This window comes from Homo sapiens, chromosome Y (genome assembly GCF_000001405.40).
Source record: "Homo sapiens chromosome Y, GRCh38.p14 Primary Assembly".
Classification (NCBI taxonomy): domain Eukaryota; kingdom Metazoa; phylum Chordata; class Mammalia; order Primates; family Hominidae; genus Homo; species Homo sapiens.
In genome coordinates this window covers 25,728,490-25,748,808 of record NC_000024.10, presented here as the reverse complement: position 1 = coordinate 25,748,808, position 20,319 = coordinate 25,728,490, and the positions used below count along the sequence as shown (strand labels likewise).

Below are 20,319 nucleotides of genomic sequence, written 5' to 3'. Positions count from 1 at the left end.
CCAGAAAGATTTGTGGGACTCAAAAATGCTGGTGCTACTTATCAAATGAATTCTGTGATGCAGTATATATATATACATACACACATATGTATATATACACATATTATACATATATATATATTCCACTAGAAACAGTGCTCTTGCTAATGAATGCATAGCTGAAAATATAGACAATGATTTTCCAAAGATGAGAAGCAGAACAGTGAGGTAAATTCTAATTATTAATTACTATCACTTTGAAGGTTCTGATAGCAGCTACTGTTTTTCTCTCTGACATTATTTTACTTTAAGTGAATTATGCGGGAAGTACTTTTTCATAATATGTCTAAGATCTCTAAGACACTATGACTGATGTATTTATATTTATCTTTCAAAAGCCGTGCTTATTTTTAAAATTATCTATACATTTTTCTCAAATCAGAGCTTTTCCTGCTAAAGAAAAAAATTTGTTCTTCAAATTATGCTATGTGAACTTGTAAAAAATATTAGTTAAGAATTATCATCAAACTGCTATGAAGAGTATTCATTTGAAAATAAAGCAGTTAAAAAGTTAGGTTATAGTGGCAGATCACCAATTTAGGATATAACACCAAATCAGTGAATATGGAATACCTAAATTTTGGTAATGTTTATACTCAAGCTCTTTCTCCTTATTATTATTTTTATTTTTCTGTATAGATACTGATAAAATCTAAATTAAAAAATTAGAATATTTTAACTGTAATAAATGGATTTCCTACAATTTTTTCATTTTTCCTTTCAATAGGCAAAAATAGTTTGTCTTTCAGCTACTAGTGTGTCAGCACTTAACCGTTTATAGAAATTACAAAACACACACTTTCTTCCTCTTTCTTAGACAGAGAAAATTATATCATCCAAGCATCGCAGTCAGGGTAGCTTTACTTTTAGTAGAATCTTCATATAGGATATTCACCAATCCTTGGTTAACAGCCACTATCGGAAGAAAAATTGGAAGGTAAGTTCTGGAACTATAGCCCGTGTTACCCCTAGGGGGTTGAATTTAACACACATAGAGATGGTTAGTCACAACAGCAAGAAGCAAATGAAACAGAATATAAAATTTCAAATTAGGTATCTTACCTTTGGACTTGGTTGCTTGTGATTTATGTTGTTTCATTACTGTACTGTGGCATGTATATCTGCCTAGTTCCTTTTTCTATGCAATGAGCTTCTCCAGGGCAGGAACTGGGGATTGTTTATTTCTTCATCACAAATCTAAGACACAATGAAAACCATAAGAAACCTCTCAGATACTTGGAAACCAACTGTATTTTATTCTATGGCTACAGTCATGTTTTGACTTTTGGAGCTTCTGTCTATGCTCCCCAACCTTCCAAAATTGTGTTTAATGGGTATATTTATTGAGTGTTAATAATGCTGATTTCATCATGTAAATAATCTTATATAATTTGGAAAATGCATTATTCTCAAAGGAAGATACTGAATCCTACAAAGACTAAGTAAGTTATTCCCCCAAAGTTACTTATTCCCCCAAAGTTACTCATGGCAGAGGACTCATTTGTCTTACTCCTGCCTACTTCATCAAATTTTACCATATTATATTACCTCCAGTGTAGATTATTATTTTACTACTCTTTTATGATAACTTTTCTGTTAACCCAGTTATAAACCTGGAAATGAGTCAGCTTTACCAGTCAAATTACTCCAGCCATGAAATTCTGCTCATTAGTATTTTCCCTTGTGTTACCAGGGCTGAAGTAATCATAGATTTAAAGACCTTAGTTTCCTTCTTCTCCTTGCCCTGAATCTCTGTACAGGCTTACTGTAGAAGAAAGCTTCCAAACAAAGCCAAACCATGAACACTGAATTAGGCACCTACATCACTGCACAGCCATCAGTGCATAGTCACAAGGATTAGGATCAATGAGAGAAACATGATGGCATCAGATGGTCAAAATAAGGTGCTAGAAGTGACTGACCCAAAAGAGATGGGCATGGAACATGGCCTGACAAGGAATTCAAAATATTTATTTTACGACAATGCAGAGGACTTCAGCAAAACACAAAGAATTCTGGAATTTATCGGAGAAATTTACCTGAGAGTTTAAAATAACAGGATGGAAAAACAAACAGAAACCTTGAAGAATAAAACACAACAAAATAAAAAATGCAATTGACAGTAGTGACAACGGAAGTGGCCAAGCAGCAAAACTCAAACAGGAGTCAATTGAAAATATGCAATCAGAGAGAAAACATAAATAAGATTTATGAGATTAATGGGATAACATCCGAAGAGCAAAGGTATCAGACACTGGCATTCAAGAGTGTGGTAGAGCTGGGCCCAATGACTCATGCCTGTATCCCCTGCACTTTGGGAGGCCAAGGCTGGTGGATCATATGTTGTCAAGAGCTTGAGAGCATCCTGCACAACATGGTGAAACAGTTTCTTTACTAAAATACAAAAATTAGCCAGGTATATTGGTGGACATCTGTAATCCCAGCTACTCAGAAGTCTCAGTCAGGAGAGTCACTGGAACTCAGGAGAATCACTGGAACTGAGGACGTGGAGGTTGCAGTGAGCTACAATCACATGATTGCACTCCAACCTAAGAGACAAGAGCAAACCTCCAACTCAATAAAAACTATTAAAAAAGAGTAGAAATCTTATTTAGATAAATAATAACAGAAACCTTTCCAAATTGATATAAAATATTAATATTCTGCTACAGGAATATTGAAGGCTTCCAATCAGATTCAATTTCAATGAAAATATTCCCATAACTTAATCTAATCAAACCACCAAATATCAAAGACAAAGAGAGGATACAGAATTAAGCAGAACAAAAAAAAGACAATATTATATCTGGAATACAGCTATATAAGTAATATGTGCATATATGTAATGCAGATGTTAATAGATCCAAAGGAAGAAAAGAAGTGCAAGATAATCCTAGAAAACTTCAGCACATTACTTTCAGCAATGAATAGATAATGCAGACAGAATTCAACAAGTAAACACTGGATTAAAATGCCCCGTAGGGAAAATGCTAAAAACAGTTACTGAACTATCCATCCAAGAGCTATGGAGTAAACATTCTTCTCCACTGCATATATGGAACATCTTTCAGGATATATCATACATTAGCCAAAAAATCACATCTTAATGAATTTGAAAAAATCAAAGTCATATCAAGTGTCTCTTCTGAAATCACTAATTCATAAGCACATCAAAATTAAACAACATACTCCTGAACAACCGCTGAGTCAATGAAGACATTAAAGAGAAACACCCTATTTATTGAGACAAAAACAGAAACACAACACAACAAAACCTATGGGATACATTCAAAGCAGTTTTAAGACGGAAGTTATGGCAATAAATGCCTTCAACTAAAAGAAGATATTAAATACACAACTTGATGTTTCAATCAAGGAATTATAAAAACAGAAAGCTAAACTCAAAAGTAATAACAAACAAACAATCTCTTAATAAAGTGTATTGGAGCCAAAAAAGAGATACCATAACTGATACCAAGAAACAAATTAATAGTAAGAAATCGAATCAGCAATAAAAAGGCACCTATTAAAGAAAAGACCAGGACCTGACGTATTCACTGCTGCATTCTACCTACCACAAAAAATAAACTACTGCCACTTTTTGTGTAATCTAGTCAAAACAAAAACAAAATCATTAAACAGAAATGAATATATGGGAACTGTTTGTTCCAACTCATTCCGTCAGGACGGCATTATGCTGATTGCAAAACCAGACAAGGATACAAGAAAAAAGAGAAAACTATGGGCCAATAAATCTGAAAAACATAGTGCAAAAACCCTCAACAAAATACTGGGAAAATGACTTATCATGCATATTTAGAAAGTCATTCACTGTGATCAAGAGAGATTACAGGGATGCAGGAATGTTTTAATACACAAGAATCATTAAATGTCATACATTACATCAGCAAAATAAGAACAAAATCTATGCAGTCATTTCAATATGTGAAAAAAAATTTGATAGAATTCAACATTTTTCACAGTATAATCTCTTAACAAATTATGCATGGAACAACTGTAACTCAACACAACAAATGACCTAGACCCAAATAAGCAGATAATGCTATGTATGACAAAACCTTAGCTAATATCCACTCAATGGGAGTTAAAAGTTGAAAGGTTTCTGTGAAGAGCTGGAAGAAGACCAGGGTGTTCACTTCCACTACTTATATTCACATAATACTAAAAGTCCTTAGCCAGAGTAATTAGACAAGAGAAAGTAAGAAAAGGTGCCCAAATTGGAGAGGAAGTAAAATTTTCCATATATGCTAATGATGTAATATGAAAATCCTTAAACACACCACTAAAAAGTAGTTAGAACTAATTCAGAAAGTCAGTAAAGTTTCAGTTTACAAAATCAACATATACAACTCCATAGCATTTCCATACACTAATAGCAAGATATATATTAAAAAAACTTAAGAAAAAATCTCATTTACAGTAGCTATGGAGGATAAAAAGCAGTAAATTTAACCAAGGAGGTAAAAAAAAATCTACATTCTGAAACCTATGAAACATTAATAAAATGTTAAAATGGCATAAATAAATGGAAAAATATCTATGTTCATTGATTGGAAAAAGTAATGTCATTAAAATGTTTATATGATCCAAAGCAGTGCACAGATTGAATGCAATATCTATCAAAACACCCATGGCATTTTTCACAGAAATTGAAAAATATCCTAAATTAATATGAAACCACAAAAAAATCCTGAATAGCCAAAGCACTCCTGAAGATGGCAGTGGGATTGGCGTTGTGGAGTGAACTGACAATGTCACAATGCTATAAACCAATAAAATATAATACAGTGAGTAAAAATAAATTTCCACCTGTATAGCCAACTGATATACTGCAGAGGTGCCAAGAACACAAAATGAAGAAAGGTCAGTCTCTTCAATAAGTGGTGCTGGGAAAACAAGAGAGCTACATGCAGAAGAATATAATAAGAACCTATCTCTCACCACATGCAAAAATTAACTCAAATGGATTAAAATGCCTAGTGGAGTGGTGTTCACCTATAGTTTCAGCTACTCAGGAGTGTCAGACAGGAGGATCATCTGGGCCTAGGTGTTCAAAGCTATAGCATGAAAGACTTGTGCCACTGCACTCCACACTAGGTAAAATAGTGAGACCTCACCAATAAGAATATATTTTTAAAAACATTTAAAAATAAAGATGTAATGAAAACACCAAAATGTCAAACTAGTAGAACAAATCACAAAACACATTTAATGATCTTGGTCTGGGCAAGAGTATTTTTTGGATCAGACAAAAACGCAAGCAGAAAACACACAAACAGAAAAACGAGGTTACATCATACTAGAAAACTTCCATACAGCAAAAAATAAAAATAAAATAAAATAAGTCACCACAGTAATAGAATGACAGCAAATATTTGCAAAGTGTACATCAGAAAAGGGGTTAATCAAAATATACAAGGAACTAAAAACAGATTCAAAAGAATAAGAAAATAATAACCCAATTAAAAATAAGTATCTTCTGTTTTCAAAAGTATATATATACAGCTAACAGATGTGTGTATGTGTGGGGGGGTGGGCTCTGTGTGGCTGTGTGTGTGTGTGTGTGTGTGTGTGTGTTTGTGTTTGTATATATATATATTCTCAACATTTCTCCTCATTACAGAATTGCAACCTCTCCCTCTCAGGTTCAAGCGATTCTACTGCCTCAATCTCCTGAATAGCTGGGATTACAGGCATGAGTCAGGGTGCCCAGCTAGTTTTGTATTTTTAGTAGAGATGGGATTTCACCATGTTCGCTAAGCTGGCCATGAACCGCCAACCTCAGGGGATCTGCCCACCTCAGCCTTTCAAAGTGCTGGGATTAAAGGTGTGAGCCACCATGCTTGGCTTATTTTAAGAAATTTAAGAAATGTATAAAATTAAAGAATGTAAATTTAAGAAATTTATAAAATTTCTTAAATTAGGCTTGTAAAAAAGAAAAAGTTGGCCAGGTACGATGGCACATGGGAGGCCAAGGTGGGTGGATCACTAGATCAGGAGCTTGAGACCAGCAGGGCCAATATAGGGAAACCCCATCTCTACTAAACACGTAAAAATTAGCTGGGTGTGCTGGTGTGCACCTGTAGCCCCAGCTACTCAGGAGGCTGAGGTAGGAGAATCCCTTGAACCTGGGAGTTGGAGGTTGCAGGAGCTTAGATCATGCCACTGCACTCTAGCCTGGGCGACAGAGCAAGACACTGTCCAAACAACAAGTATAGCAACAAAATTAGGTACATGGAGATTTACTACATGGAGATTTATTGGTTCTAATATTGCCAGGAGTTTTATTTACTTGTTGAGTTTACTGGCTAAAGTGTTGTTCATTTTTTTTGTTGTTTCTGCCTAAATCCTTTTCTTTCAGGAGATTCAGTCAATTAAACTTAAATTCGCTCCAGAGTACGGCCCAAAATCACTTCATGCATTGTCACTGGAATTAACTCTTTGGCTTTGCAGGAATGTTTATTGCCCTGCTAGTATTACTAACTGTCCCTGCGATTACTAATTTTTATTTGCAAAGAAGTTTAAATCGTGAGGTTGCATATTTTTGCATGTGTTTATAAACTTCTTCACTTACCTTTTTAATGAAAGGTAACACTTATCCCCATTGGTTCCTAAATCTATAAAATGTATATAATTTTTATACATTTTACTCTCTTGGAACTGTCAGTGCAGATCTGAATGAAATTAGTTCTTACAAAATTTATAGTACTCATGTAAATCACTATAGTAACAGATAGAAGTCATATGGAAATGAGTTGCTTAGCTATGTTTTGATATTCAAAGTCACAGCTACAAATTTAAGGAGTCTAGAAAATCTACCACTAACATATTAAATCACATCAGTTGACAAATAAAATCTACAAGATTATTTCTGAACCATAGTCTTTTCTCACTCACTCTACTTTCATTCATTAATTTAAGGTTATATTTCTATTCCTCATAACTATTTAGAATGCTCATTAGGCTGAATGAGAATCATATTAAAAGAAACAGAAAAAATGACCGACTTAATCGCATTTGCATTTTTTAAAAACTATCATTACCTTAAGACTGAAAAATTGCATAGAAAATAATTCAGAATTGTGAAAAACAAACAGGGACACATTTCTATTAGAAGAATGATGATCACATCTTAATCTTGTTAGTGAACTATTCATATTTATTTACTTGTTGGAAACAGAGAACGAGAGATATTTGTGTCACTTACCTCATGATATGTCCTAAAGGAAGAATGCGCCAACAAAAGTAATGCAGCTTTATTTCACCTCAAGTCTTTACTGAAAAACTTTAGGGTAATTTGATCCAAAATTACCTCCACAATAATAAAGCTCATAGCAAATAACATTAGAATATGTCAATAGCTTTTCAATTAATTTCAAACCTATACAAAGCATAGGTGGCCTCACCACAGCAGAGAACAGTTGAGCAGAGAATGCTGAAAGGAAAGCTGTACTTTATTTATTAGTCTCTTCAAACGCTGTGTCCATTCTCAGCATGCTGCTAATTCGTACTCTTCTGTCAGTGCATCCAGTATAATTTGGTATCAGATCCAAACAGAAGAAAACAAGATTCTGTATAATTCAGTATTCACGGAAAATCTAAAAAGGTAAATAAGGATCACTAATCACGATAAAAAAATCTATGTCTGGTTTAGGAAATATTGAACCACCACTTGACATAATTTAGTCAATTAAAGCATTTGTCATAAGTTAGTCAATATGTCAAATAACTTGACATATTATTTCTTTAGCAAACAGTGTTTTAAGGAAATAGACAATAAAACTTCTATGAGGCCTTAACTACCTCTTAACGCCAAGATGATAGTCCTGTCTTCAAGTAGTATGAAACAAGGTGTATATTTCTCATAAGTTTGTGTGTTTGTGTGTGTGTGTGTGTGCTCTTCAGCCACTGTCTGATGCTGACATTGACTAAAACAAAACAGCACAAGGTCTAAGCCAATTCTAATGATGATGACACTAAGAAAAATATCTAGCAGATATTTCTGATTAGGAAAGAAATAAAAAACAGTGAGCCCTGTAAGTTCCACTTATTGTTAGACGATGGCCATTTTGCATATAAAAAACTGTTTCTTGGCTTGATTTAATGCTATGAAGTTATGAATCAAGTAAAGTTTCAATTTATATAGATGTGAAATCCAGAGTTTGCATGGTTATTGAAGATCTAAAATCTCTTTTCTTGGGGGGTTGGGGGGAGGCCAAATAGCTCATATTAGGTGCTTTCTAGTCAAACAGCCAGATAAATTACTAATATATTGTGAAGGTCAATTAGCCATTATTTGTGGGAAACAATATTCAACAAACATGAATAAGAAGGAAGATAAAAGGCAACAGTAAATATTGAAACCGAATTTAGACAGAAACCTTTTTCTGATTAAAAATGTTGTTAATATAATAAAAACACATGAAATATGTAAGAATCTAATGCAAATTACAAGAGAGAAAGCATAATATTTCCCCAGAAGATGTTGGTCATTGGTTAAAATATATCAGTGGGGAAAACTGAAGTAGTAGTTTTAAAAAGAGGGAGGGAAGAATCAAGAAGTTACCTATTTTATTTTATTTGATAAGATGTTCATTTCCTGAACTTTCTTTGCATTGCTTTGATTCTCATAACTTAACATAAATATGCTTTCCTCCAATTTGTTAAGTTTTATGCTGCAGAATTTTAAATTCCTCAACTTCTGTGGTTGGTTACTCTGATCTAAATCACACCTTTATCTACATGCACTTATTTATTCAAACACAAAGAAAAAACCTTTATCATATTTTAAAATACATCCTCCTGGACCCAACCCATTAATATGATTGATCTTTTCCTCTTTCATGTAATTTATTTTATTCTCTTCTTCACTACCCTGATTTCCTTATCGCAAATGTAAAACAAACTCCATATTTTATGATCCACAACAAAAACTGTCTCTTTTGTTACTGATGTTTTCGTCTGCTTTTAATTTCCACACAGAATTTCTATTAGCTATTTGATTTTGATCAGTTCTTATTCTGTCTCAGGTTTTATCCCACATCAGTGAAGTCACGGTCCTTTCTCAAAGGTCATCAGTGACACCCTAACTGCTAAATTTAAAATGTTACCTTGAATTTCAGATGAATATTTTTACCATTGATAATATGCTCTCATTTCAAAATTCCACTTACCTTTACCATTCAGGCTTTCATCCCCAACAATCTATCAAATGTACTATATTTAAAATAATCAACTTCCTTTTTGCCAAATATAATAGTTTTAAAACAAAAATTCTTGTCTTTGTTGTTCGTGTGTCTATTGAGACAGGGTCTGCCTCTGTTGTCCAGGCTGGAGTTCAGTGGTGCAATCAAGAATTCACTGCAGCCTCAACTTCCTGGGCTCAAGTGATCTTTCCACCTCATCCTCCTGGGTGACTGTGACTACAGGTCACCCAGACTAGCTAATTTTGGTAGAAACAGGGCCTTTCCATTATCCCAGGCTGGTCTTGAGTTCCTGGGATCAAGCTGTCTGCCTGCCTCAGGCTCCCAAAGTGCAGCCACTGGAGGCATGAGCCACCAGGCCTGGCCAAATATGAGTTATTTCTTAGTCTCCCTCTTCCTTGAACTATCCCTGATGAATTTACTGTCAATCTCTCAGTTATGTCTTCCTGTACAATCAATTTCTGCATGGTACTATGATTCCCAAATTGTTATTCCAGCCAGTCTCTTACCAAACCCCAAATCATATATGACTCTATTACATGTACTCATGTTTAACGGGCAATTTGATCTCAAGGCTACACACTGAATTCTGATGCTCTATTGGAGGAAATTCAGCCCCTGATATTTCACGTAGGTTCTTTTCTATTTTCCCTAAGTGTTGGCCTCTTTGAGAAATAAAGGGAAAGGGTACAAAAGAGAGAAATTTTAAACCTGGGTGTCCGGGGGAGACCTCACATGTTGGCAGGTTCCGTGATGCCCCAGAAGCTTCAAAGCCAGCAAATTTTTAACAGTTATTTTCAAAAGGAGAGGGAGTGTATGAATAGGGTTTGAGTCACAGAGATCACATGCTTCATAAGGTAATAAGATATCACAAGGCAAATGGAGGCAGGGTGAGATCACAGGACCACAAGACCGGGGCAAAATTTAAATTGCAAGTGAAGTTTTGTGCACACATTGTCATTGATAACATCTTGTCAGGAGACAGGGTTTGAGAGCAGACAACCGGTCTGACCAAAATTTATTAGGCAGGAATTTCCTCGTCCTAATAAGCCTGGGAGTGCTATGGGAGACCGGGTCTTATTTCTTCCCTCAGCTATGACCATAAAAGACAGCCATCACCAAAGCGGCCATTTCAGAGGCCTCTCCTCAGGGGCACATTCTCTTTCTCAGGGATGTTCCTTGCTGAGAAAAAGAATTCAGTAATATATCTCCCATTTGCTTTTGAATGAAGAGAAATATGGCTGTGTTCTGCCTGGCTCACTGGCAGTCAGAGTTTGTTATCTCCCCTGTTCCCTGAACATTGCTGTTATCCTCTTCTTTTTTCAAGGTGCCCAGATTTCACATTGTTCAAACACACATGCTCTACAAACAATTTGCACAGTTAACGCAATCATCACAGGGTCCTGAGGTGACATACATCCTCCTCAGCTTACTTAAATGACAGGATTAATAGATTAAAATAAAGACAGGTATAGGAAATCACAAGGGTATTGATTGGGGAATTGATAAGTGTCCATGAAATCTTCACAATTTATGTTCAGAGATTGCAGTAAAGACAGGCATAATAAATTATAAAAGTGTTAATTTGGGGAACTAATAAATGTCCATGAACTCTTCACAATTTATGTTCATCTGCCATGGCTTCAGCAGGTCCCTCTGTTCGGGGTTCCTGACTTCCTGAAACAATGCTTTTTCCAAATAACCTTCCCGAATTGTTTCCCATTTCACCTGATAGTAATCACGTCCTGTTGCAAAGGCCTAAAACTGTAAGGTCATCCTTGATGCTTTTATTTTCATCTCATCTTTTCTATTAATCCTCAAATTCTGCATGTTTTCTTTTTAAAATAGGTTCACAATCTAACCACTTTTCCCTATTTCTCCTGCGTCACCCAGATACAGGTCATCCACATTTCTCATCTGATTCACTCATCCCCTTTAGTTATCTTCTACCTTCCACCGTAAATAAACCCACCATCCTTGTCCTTCTTAATTAAAATTAAATCACTAGATATTGTCACTACTTTCCACTAAAGCCAAAATATAAGTTCCATCAGTATGTGGATTTTTGTCTTTTGTCAGGTGAACTGGGGTAAATAATACCTGATATATTTGCAGTTAATTTGATCCTTTTTTCTTATTTATTTATTTATTTATTTATTTATTTATTTATTTACCTATTTTTGGCCTGCAGTGGGGTGTGATTAAGTCTTGCTCTGTTGCTCAAGCTGGAGTGACAGGATCTCAGTTAACTGCAACCTCTGCCTCTCAAGTTCAAGCAATTCTCCTGTGTCAACATCCTGAGTAGCTGGGAACACAGGGGACTGCCAGCCCAACTGGCAGTTCTTTTTTGATGTTTTTTTTTTTTTTGACATTTTTAGTACAGACGGGATTTCACCATGCTGGCCAGGCTGGTCTCAAACTCCTGACCTCAGGTTGTCCACCCGCCTTGGACCCCCTGTATTCTTTCAATTATAGGTGTGATTAACCATGCCTGGCATGATCTCTATTCTAAAAGATTCATAGACATAATTTCTGCAACAGACTTATTATTTGGTCTTCTTATTAAACTGTGGAGATTGAAGCAATAAAAGGTTAAGCAATTATTTATCCTGCTGGTTTTATTAACAAACTAGATAATTCTGTGTGATTCTATTTATGTATAACAAGAATTAAAAGGTAAATTAAATTCTTCAGGTGTATGCTGAACAATTTATAATTTAATGCTGATATTCCTGACTTCTTTCCAGATTCTGAGTTTCGCTTTCTTATAAAAAATGATTTAACATTTAGGGGCATAGTTAGAGGCATTATTTATAAGGAAAGCATCATCCAACTACATGGCCTTTTCCTCCACTTTTTGCTATGTAGACTGGAGAAAGCATTCTTTCATATTTAATTCCAATTTTGAGTTTACCTCACATTGTTTTTCAGTTGTTCAATTCCCTTCCACTTTATGTGACTGGGGCCCATTTCGTACTTTTAAGTTGCTTTTAAACACATATCTGTGTGTTTAACTTGCATCTACATTCCTGCTAAGGCTTGTAGTGCTCAAAACTTTCACTGAGGTTTCAACACATTTTTAATTGAGAGATAACGCACAAACTATCATATTAGCCATTTTAAAGTACACATTCCATGATATTCTGGGTATTCATAAAGGTGTACAAATATCACCACTTTTTAAATACAGATTTCCATCACCTGAAATAAATAAAAAAATACCACTGCACCCATTACCATTAAATCCCAGCTTCCCCATTTCCTAAAGCCCTTGGTATCCAATAAGACATTTTCCGTCACTATGGATTTGCCTACTACAGACACTTCATATAAATGGACTCATACAATATGAGGCTCTTTGTGACTTACAGCCTTGTGCTGTAGATTATCCTCAATGGGGCTATGTATAACAAACACCCATGAAAGATAAAGATAATGCCTCCTTCCAAGGCAGAGTGTCCTTTCTTTAAAATGCCGGCATTTCCTAAGCTTGAGATTTCTGAAACAGGTTTAATATTCTGTCCTATTTTTAAACCAAGCATACTGATGGAAAAAAGTTCCAGTATTTTGTCCAAATTCTTTATCTTGGTGGTTTCACTATGAAATAAATGAATTTGCATCAATTGTATCAGATATATGGTAAGGGAATGTATGATGCGAATGCACTGCAAGGGTAGTGTTGGCCTAGGTCCACCTCCACATCAGGAGTTGATGGAAATATTTATATTGTGAATAATGCTACTACAAACATTCCTATACAAATTGGCATAAATATACCTTAATTTTTGGGAAATATGCTGAATGTACATCCAATTATTTGGGAAACTACTGGACTGTTTTCTAAAGGAGCAACCTCACTTCATGTTCCCGATAGCAATTGGATGAGTTTCCCAATTTTTCCATATATTTGAAAACATCTGTCATTTATTTCTCATTACAGTCCATTCTATTCAATATAAACTTGTATCTCATTGTGGCTTGATTTTTCATTTTTCTGATAACTTATTATCTCTTCATATGCTTAGCTGTAGATTTGATGTGACAATGATAGAAAAAATTAGCTGGGTGTGGTGGCTGACACCTGTAATCTCAGCTACTGAGGAGGCTGAGGCAGGAGAATTGCTTGATCCGGGGAGGCTGAGGTTGCAGTGAGCCAAGATTGCACCATTGCACTACAGTTTGCATGAAAACAGAGAAACTCTGTCAAAAAAAAAAAAGAAAAAACTTGTGGAAATTTTATATGAGATCTCATTTTTCTCTAACTTTCTGCTGTTCTAATATCCTGTCATTTTCTCTATCTAATAAGTTGAGCCTATAATACTTTTTCTTTTGCAGGGTAGTGTTAAAACACCGGGAAATGAGTGCTGATTAGCAGATATAAAGAGGCCACACTGGGGTAAGAAAAGAGTTATGTGTCTTTCATTTCAGAAGACATTTAACTCAAAATGGTCGGCATCACTAATTGTTAGGGAAATGCAAACCAGAATCACAATGAGATATCATCTGAGGCCAGACAAAATGGAGATTACTAAAAAGCCAGGAAACAACAGATGGTAGTGGGTTAGTGCAGACATAGCAATGCTTTTACACTGTTGTTAGGAGTGTAAATCAGTATGGACATTGTGGAAAAGTGTGTAGTAATTCATCAGATATTTAGAACCAGAAATACCACTGGACTCAGCAATTTCATTACTGGGTACATAGCTCCCCTTCAAAATAAGTCATTCTATTTTAAGTATACATGGATGTGTATGTTTATTACAGCACTAATCACAATAGCAAATACATTGAATTAACTCAAATGCCCATCAGTAACAGACTAGATAAAGAAAGCATGGCACATATACATCATGAAATAATATGCAGCCACTAAAATGAAAGAAATCATGTTCTCTGAAGGGAGATGGATGAAGCTGGAAACCATCATCCTCAGAAAACTAACAGAGAAACGAAAAAACAAGCACTCCATGTTCACAATCATTAAACGTTCACACTGAACATTAAAGACACACAGAACAGCTTTCGACTTGGTCTGTCCAGAGGCAGAGAAAAAAAGACCTTCAGAATAAATAGCTTATTTATGTGGGGCTGAATAACCTCGGTGATGGGTTAATAGTTGCAGTGAACAATCACGGAAAAGTTTACCTATGAAATAAACCAGTATGCCCTGCATATGTACCCTGGAACTTAATATAAAATGAAATTGAATACATTAAATAAAAAAAAAGCTTTCTTTTTGTAGAGGTGAGGTTACAGTAACTTTGAAATGTGTGCCACACTTTATTTAAGACATTTTTGTAATTGCAATTCGAAGTTGCCAGAAACTACATTGAAAAGTAAATAAGTAATATATCTCAATTCTTAATTGATTTAATTTATTTTCTTTTATTTTTATAAAGGAATCTCACACTGTCTCTTTGGCTGGAGTACAGCAGTGCAATCTTGGCACACTGCAACCCCCTGCTTCCCGGTTTCAAGTGATTATTCTGCCTGAACTTCTTGATTAGCTTAGATTACAGGTGAGCACCGCTACACCTGATGGGGTTTCACCATATTGGCCAGGCCTGTCTCAAGCTCTTGGCTTCAAGTATGCTGCCTGCCTTGGCCTCCAAAAGTGCTGGAATTACAGATGTGAGCCACCACACCTGTCCCTTGATTGAATTTCTAATTGAGAAAACATTCATCTTGCAAAAACTTATTTTTTATATCATATTTTTGATGTTTTTCTTTATATGTTTCGTAATTCAAGAAAAATAATGTAACTTTAATGCCTTATTATTATTGAAAATAAATTTATTTCCATTAATATGTAATTTAAAAAGTAGGTTAATTTAGAATGCTATTTTTGTTTTGGGTAAAGTTCTCAGGTTTTAGAAATTTCTTCAATAATCTAATTTTGGAAATGAATTACATGCATTGACTGTTCTTGGGTTTTTTGAAATGATTTTTCTTTGGAACAAAATTCAAAATTGTTTCAAAATATAATGAGATTTTAATTATGTCAAATAAACATAAAAGTATTTTCTTGAAAAGACATATTTTTCATAACATATGTTTTCTACTAATAACCTGTGATTTATTTTTCTAACTTACCAAGAATTAATTGATGTTGTTGTCTTCCCTGCATCAAAAGTTTAACTGTAATGTCTAAGAAATAAAAAAACTGCCAGAAGAGCCAGCTCTTCCAGTCTGTTCCTCTTCCATTACCATCAATCCTGGTTTTGATCTGCTTGTAGCACCAGCTATTGGCTGTGTAAAGAACCTTAAAAAGATAGTAGACTGTTTGAATGCAATATATTACAGAGAGAAAGCAACAACTAGTGAATTTTTACATTATAAAGCTGTTTTTCTTCAGGAATAATAGTTTACTTTGAAAGTCTACTTTTTATTTAGAAGGAATTAACTCATAGTTTTCTTGCTTGTTTGCTTTTGATCAACTAGTTTAACATTTTGTAGCCATCAGGTATATATTTAAAACCGTTTATGTCAGACAATATTAAATTTAAAAAAATATATGTATTTCTTAAGTGCTCCCCTATACTTGGTGTTGGTAACCAAAGTGGGTTTTATTGAATCCCATGTTAAAAAATACTGAAACCTCAGAGTATCCAGAAGCCAAATTTAATGGTCCAAATTTTATATTTAAAATGTATGCATTAAAATGATTTTTATAACCCAAACCTCGAAGTTACTTAATGTTATTTTAGTTAAATTCTAAGAGAGGTATGGCTTTAAAAATCATAATGTGAGAAGAAAACTTTTGAGTGAATTTTATTACTTCTAAATGTCCACATAAGTCCAACAAAGTAAGTATCAATGTTCAAATCTTACACAGAACAGAAACTCAGCCTGTGAGTTAATATAAGTAAATGAGCAAATGATAACAAAATTCAGCTTATTTCAAGAGAAAACCAAGGATTAATAATACAGTTAACAACAGCATTCTGTACAGATCTTTAATTGATGAATGTGAAATTCTATTTGTTTACGTTTTTCTCTGGGCGAGTATATTTTCTAGCATATTGTAGGAGTTTCTAGCTAAACTCACCACTTAAAAAGTCAGATCTTTATTTGTCTCGTGAGATCTATGTAAAGAGAAGAGTTTCCCTCTTAAAAACACCTTGTATGTTAATTTATTTAACAATTGAATTGACATAGTTTATATATGTATATATATATTCAAAAGACAGTTTTTAAAATAAACCCTTTTTTAAAAAAACAAACAGATGTGATGGCATTAAACTATGTACCTAAGGGGTCTGAAGTTAAAAATCTGTAATGGTCACTTGATTTATTGTTAGTATGAAAATTCAAAGTACTCTTTCAAAATGGCTGTGATGACAAATGAGTTGTCATCAATATTAATTTGTCACGTGATGGAAAGAAGAGTGGGCAGAATTATGATTTTCATAGTACAAGCATTGTTTTTTCTTCTGATCTCAGGTTGTGAAGCACTTTTTGAGTGGGAATATCTGCTCTCTGTTAGATCTCACCTGCCAGAAATATTTGCGGGACTCAAAAATGCTGGTGCTACTTATCATATGAATGCTGTGATCCAGCAGCCATATATATCTATATATATGTTATAGATATACATACGTGTGTGTATGTGTTTCCCCCCACACTGAAAACAGTATTCTTGCAATTGAATGCATAGGTAAAAATATAGATAATGATTGTTTGAAGATGAGAAGCAGAACAGTGAGGTAAATTCTAATTATTAATTACTAATAGTTTGAAGATTCTGATAGCAGCTACGGTTTTTCTCTCTGCAATTATTGTTCTTTAAAAGAATTTGTGGTAAGTACATTTTTATAATGTGGCTAAAATCGCTGAGAAACTATGACTGTTATATTTATATTGTCTGTGTTTCATAAGCTGTGCTTATTTTTAAAATTCTCTAATATGTTTTTATGAAATTAGAGCTTTTTCTGCTAAAGAATCAAATGTGTTCTTCAAATTATGCTCCCTGATTTTGTAAAAAATATTAGTTAAGAATTATCATAACACTGCCTATGAAAAGTTTAATTTGAACATAAAGCAGTAAAAAATTAGGTTACAGTGGTGATCACCTATTTAGGATACACCTCCAAATAAGTAAACATGGAACACCTAAATTTTGGTAATGTTTATACTCAAGATCTTTATTATTATTATTATTATTATTATTATTATTAATTTTACTTTTTGTGTGGATATTGATAAAAACTAAATTAAAAAATCAGAATAGTTTTACTGTAATAAATTGTTTTCCTACAATGTCTTCATTTTTTCCTTTCAGTTGGCAGAAATAGTTTGTCTTTCAGTTACCAGTGTCCCAGCATTTAATGATTTATAGACATTACAAAACACACACTTTCTTCCTCTTTCTTAGACCCAGAAAATTATATCATCCAAGCATTGCAGTTGGGGTAGCTTTACTTTTAGTAGAATCTTCATATGGGATGTTCACCAATACTTGGTTAACAGACACTATTGGAAGAAAAGTTGGAAGGTAATTTCTGACATGATAGCCCGTGTTACCCCTAGGGCGTTGAATTTAACACATATAGAGATGGTTAATCACAACAGCAAGAAGCAGATGAAACAGAATATAAAATTTCAAATTAGGTATCTTACCTTTGGACTTGGTTGCTTGTGATTTATGTTGTCTCATTACTGTACTGTGGCATGTATATCTGCCTTGTTCCTTTTTCTATGCAATGAGCTTCTCTAGGGCAGGAACTGGGGATTGTTTATTTCTTCATCACAAACCTATGACACAACGAAAACAATAAGAAACCTCTCAGATACTTGGAAAGCAACTGTACTTTGCTCTATGGCTACAATCATGTTTTGACTTTTGGAGCTTCTCTCTATGCCCCCCACCCCATCCTTCCAAAACTAGGGTTAATAGGCATATTTATTCAGTGTTAATAATTCTGATTTCATCATGTAAATAATCTTATGTAATTTGGAAAATGCATTATTCCCAGAAGAAGATACAGAATCCTACAAAGACTAAGTAACTTATTCCCCCAAAGTTACTTATTCCCCAAAGTTACTCATGGCAGAGGACTCATTTGTCTTACTCCTGCCTGCTTGAACAAATTTTACTATATTATATTATCTCCAGTGTAGGTTATTATTTTATGAATCTTTTATGATAACTTTTCTGTAAACCCAGTTATAATAGTCTATGTTTGAACTGAGCAATAAGAGTAAAAAATAAAAAGTAATTTAAGTGTTTTGAAAATTAGGAATGTACAAAATGTATATAATTTTATTCAGCAAGTTTTTTATTTGTTTCAACTTCTTTCCTTATATTTATAAAGTTAAATGAGTGCATTACTGATTTTTTGGTCATTAATGTTGATCCCCAAGGTAATTTATCAGAATATTTTTATTAATTGGAAGACAATCCAGAGTTAATAAAGACAGAAGATAGAAAAGAGAACAATATTTGTGTCATAAGACATCTTCAAGACATCTTTGTTCATTGAGCTGTTTTCAAAGTACAATCATATGTACCCAAAGAATTTTGGTAACAGTTATGGTAAATTTTAGGTGAGTGATTATTTCAGTTGTATAAAAGCCTCAATAAGTTAACTAAATATTACTGAGGCAAAATACTTCATTTAAGAGACATTATATTAAGTGAAATTTGCCAGGAAATATAAAGCGCAAGGATTGGTTGATTTTATTCATATGTGAGAAATAACAAAGTTGATCTCATATAGGTAGAGAATAGAATGACAGATTATTATAGGCTATGAAAGACATTAAGCAAATAAATGAGTTAGTTAATGTGTAAAAAATAGTTAGAAAGAATAGGTTCTAAAGTTTGATTGTATAGGAGGGAGGTTATAGGTATGAATAATTTATTATAGATTTCATAATAACTAGAAGTTTAGATTTGGAAAGTTCTTGAAACAAATATGTCATATATGTCGGAAATGACTAATATACCAATTACCAGTATGCCATTTAAAAATTTGGTCATTGCTGATTTTGTGCATGTATCAAGATAACGGTTCTACATTGTAAATATGGAAAATTATAATGCATCAGTTTAAAAATGATAAATAGTGGTCTGTTTAAATAAGAAATTTCACTAAATGTGGCCATTTCTGAATTGTAAAAACCTCTTTCTCTCTACACATTGGGACTTTGTGATCCAAATTCTGATTTTAGAAGTACTTGCGACATGTTCTTGGGCAGACTGAGGACATGGCAGAAAAGCCACACATGCCCCTCTTCAGCATTAGCTGGAAATTGTGGTCCAGGGCTCTCCTGGATGCCATGAAACAATATGTGCCATTGGAAAGATAATTACTAGGTTTTCTTGCCTTAGTGTTGAGACAGCTTCTTTGACTGAAGACCATAAAATAATTATAAAACTTGCAACACGTATAAAGTGTTGGGCAAATTAAAGAAACAGTCTAATGAGGAAGTGCTCAGAAGACTTTCAAATAACATAAAAAGATGGTTTTATAGAGGAAAATATTACCAGGGAAGTGCAATGAGATGATGATCCTATTCAAGAGCAGGCAGTCTGGTATTTTCTAGCATGTAGTTTGCAATAACCTCAGGAATTACTGGATCCCACTGTCACATGGGCAATGCCCTTTGAAGAGCTCCCTATTGACAACAACAACCTGCTTAGTTGATGAATGGCAGTTTCAAAGTGGGTGTATAATGTCCTGTTGCAAGGCTCTCATAGAGACCAGAAATGAAGACCAGTTGAAGATTGAATGAGTAAATTAGCTCAATGATTGAACTCTATGCTGTTAAATGATTGTTTTATAAAGGCAATTGTTTGAATTCATGAGTCGTAAACAGTAATCAGTATCCTGGCCATGTGAACAATAGAAAACTGGACTTTCAAACAGATGCCAGTATGTGATACACGGACTTTCAATGGGCTGAATCATATCCTGGCATCCACTTAATAGTAGAAATTTAAGGGGTACCTTAAATAAGGACATGTTGATCCCCATTTGAAGAATCTTCTGCAGGATGATTGGGAGGTCATTAGAAACAGGACATCATGATGTAGTCCCTTGAAGTGGCAACC

General features: G+C 34.1%; 1 long non-coding RNA gene and 1 pseudogene across 1 annotated transcript; one reads left to right on the top strand and one right to left on the bottom strand.

Moving 5' to 3' along the window:
* Positions 15,357-18,799, top strand: USP9YP9 (USP9Y pseudogene 9; annotated as a pseudogene).
* Positions 15,421-20,319, bottom strand: TTTY3 (testis expressed transcript, Y-linked 3). The gene is made up of 3 exons (NR_001524.1): positions 20,216-20,319; positions 17,883-18,017; positions 15,421-15,525 (listed from the first exon to the last, which is right to left on the bottom strand). It is a non-coding gene; the product is annotated as a testis expressed transcript, Y-linked 3 (long non-coding RNA).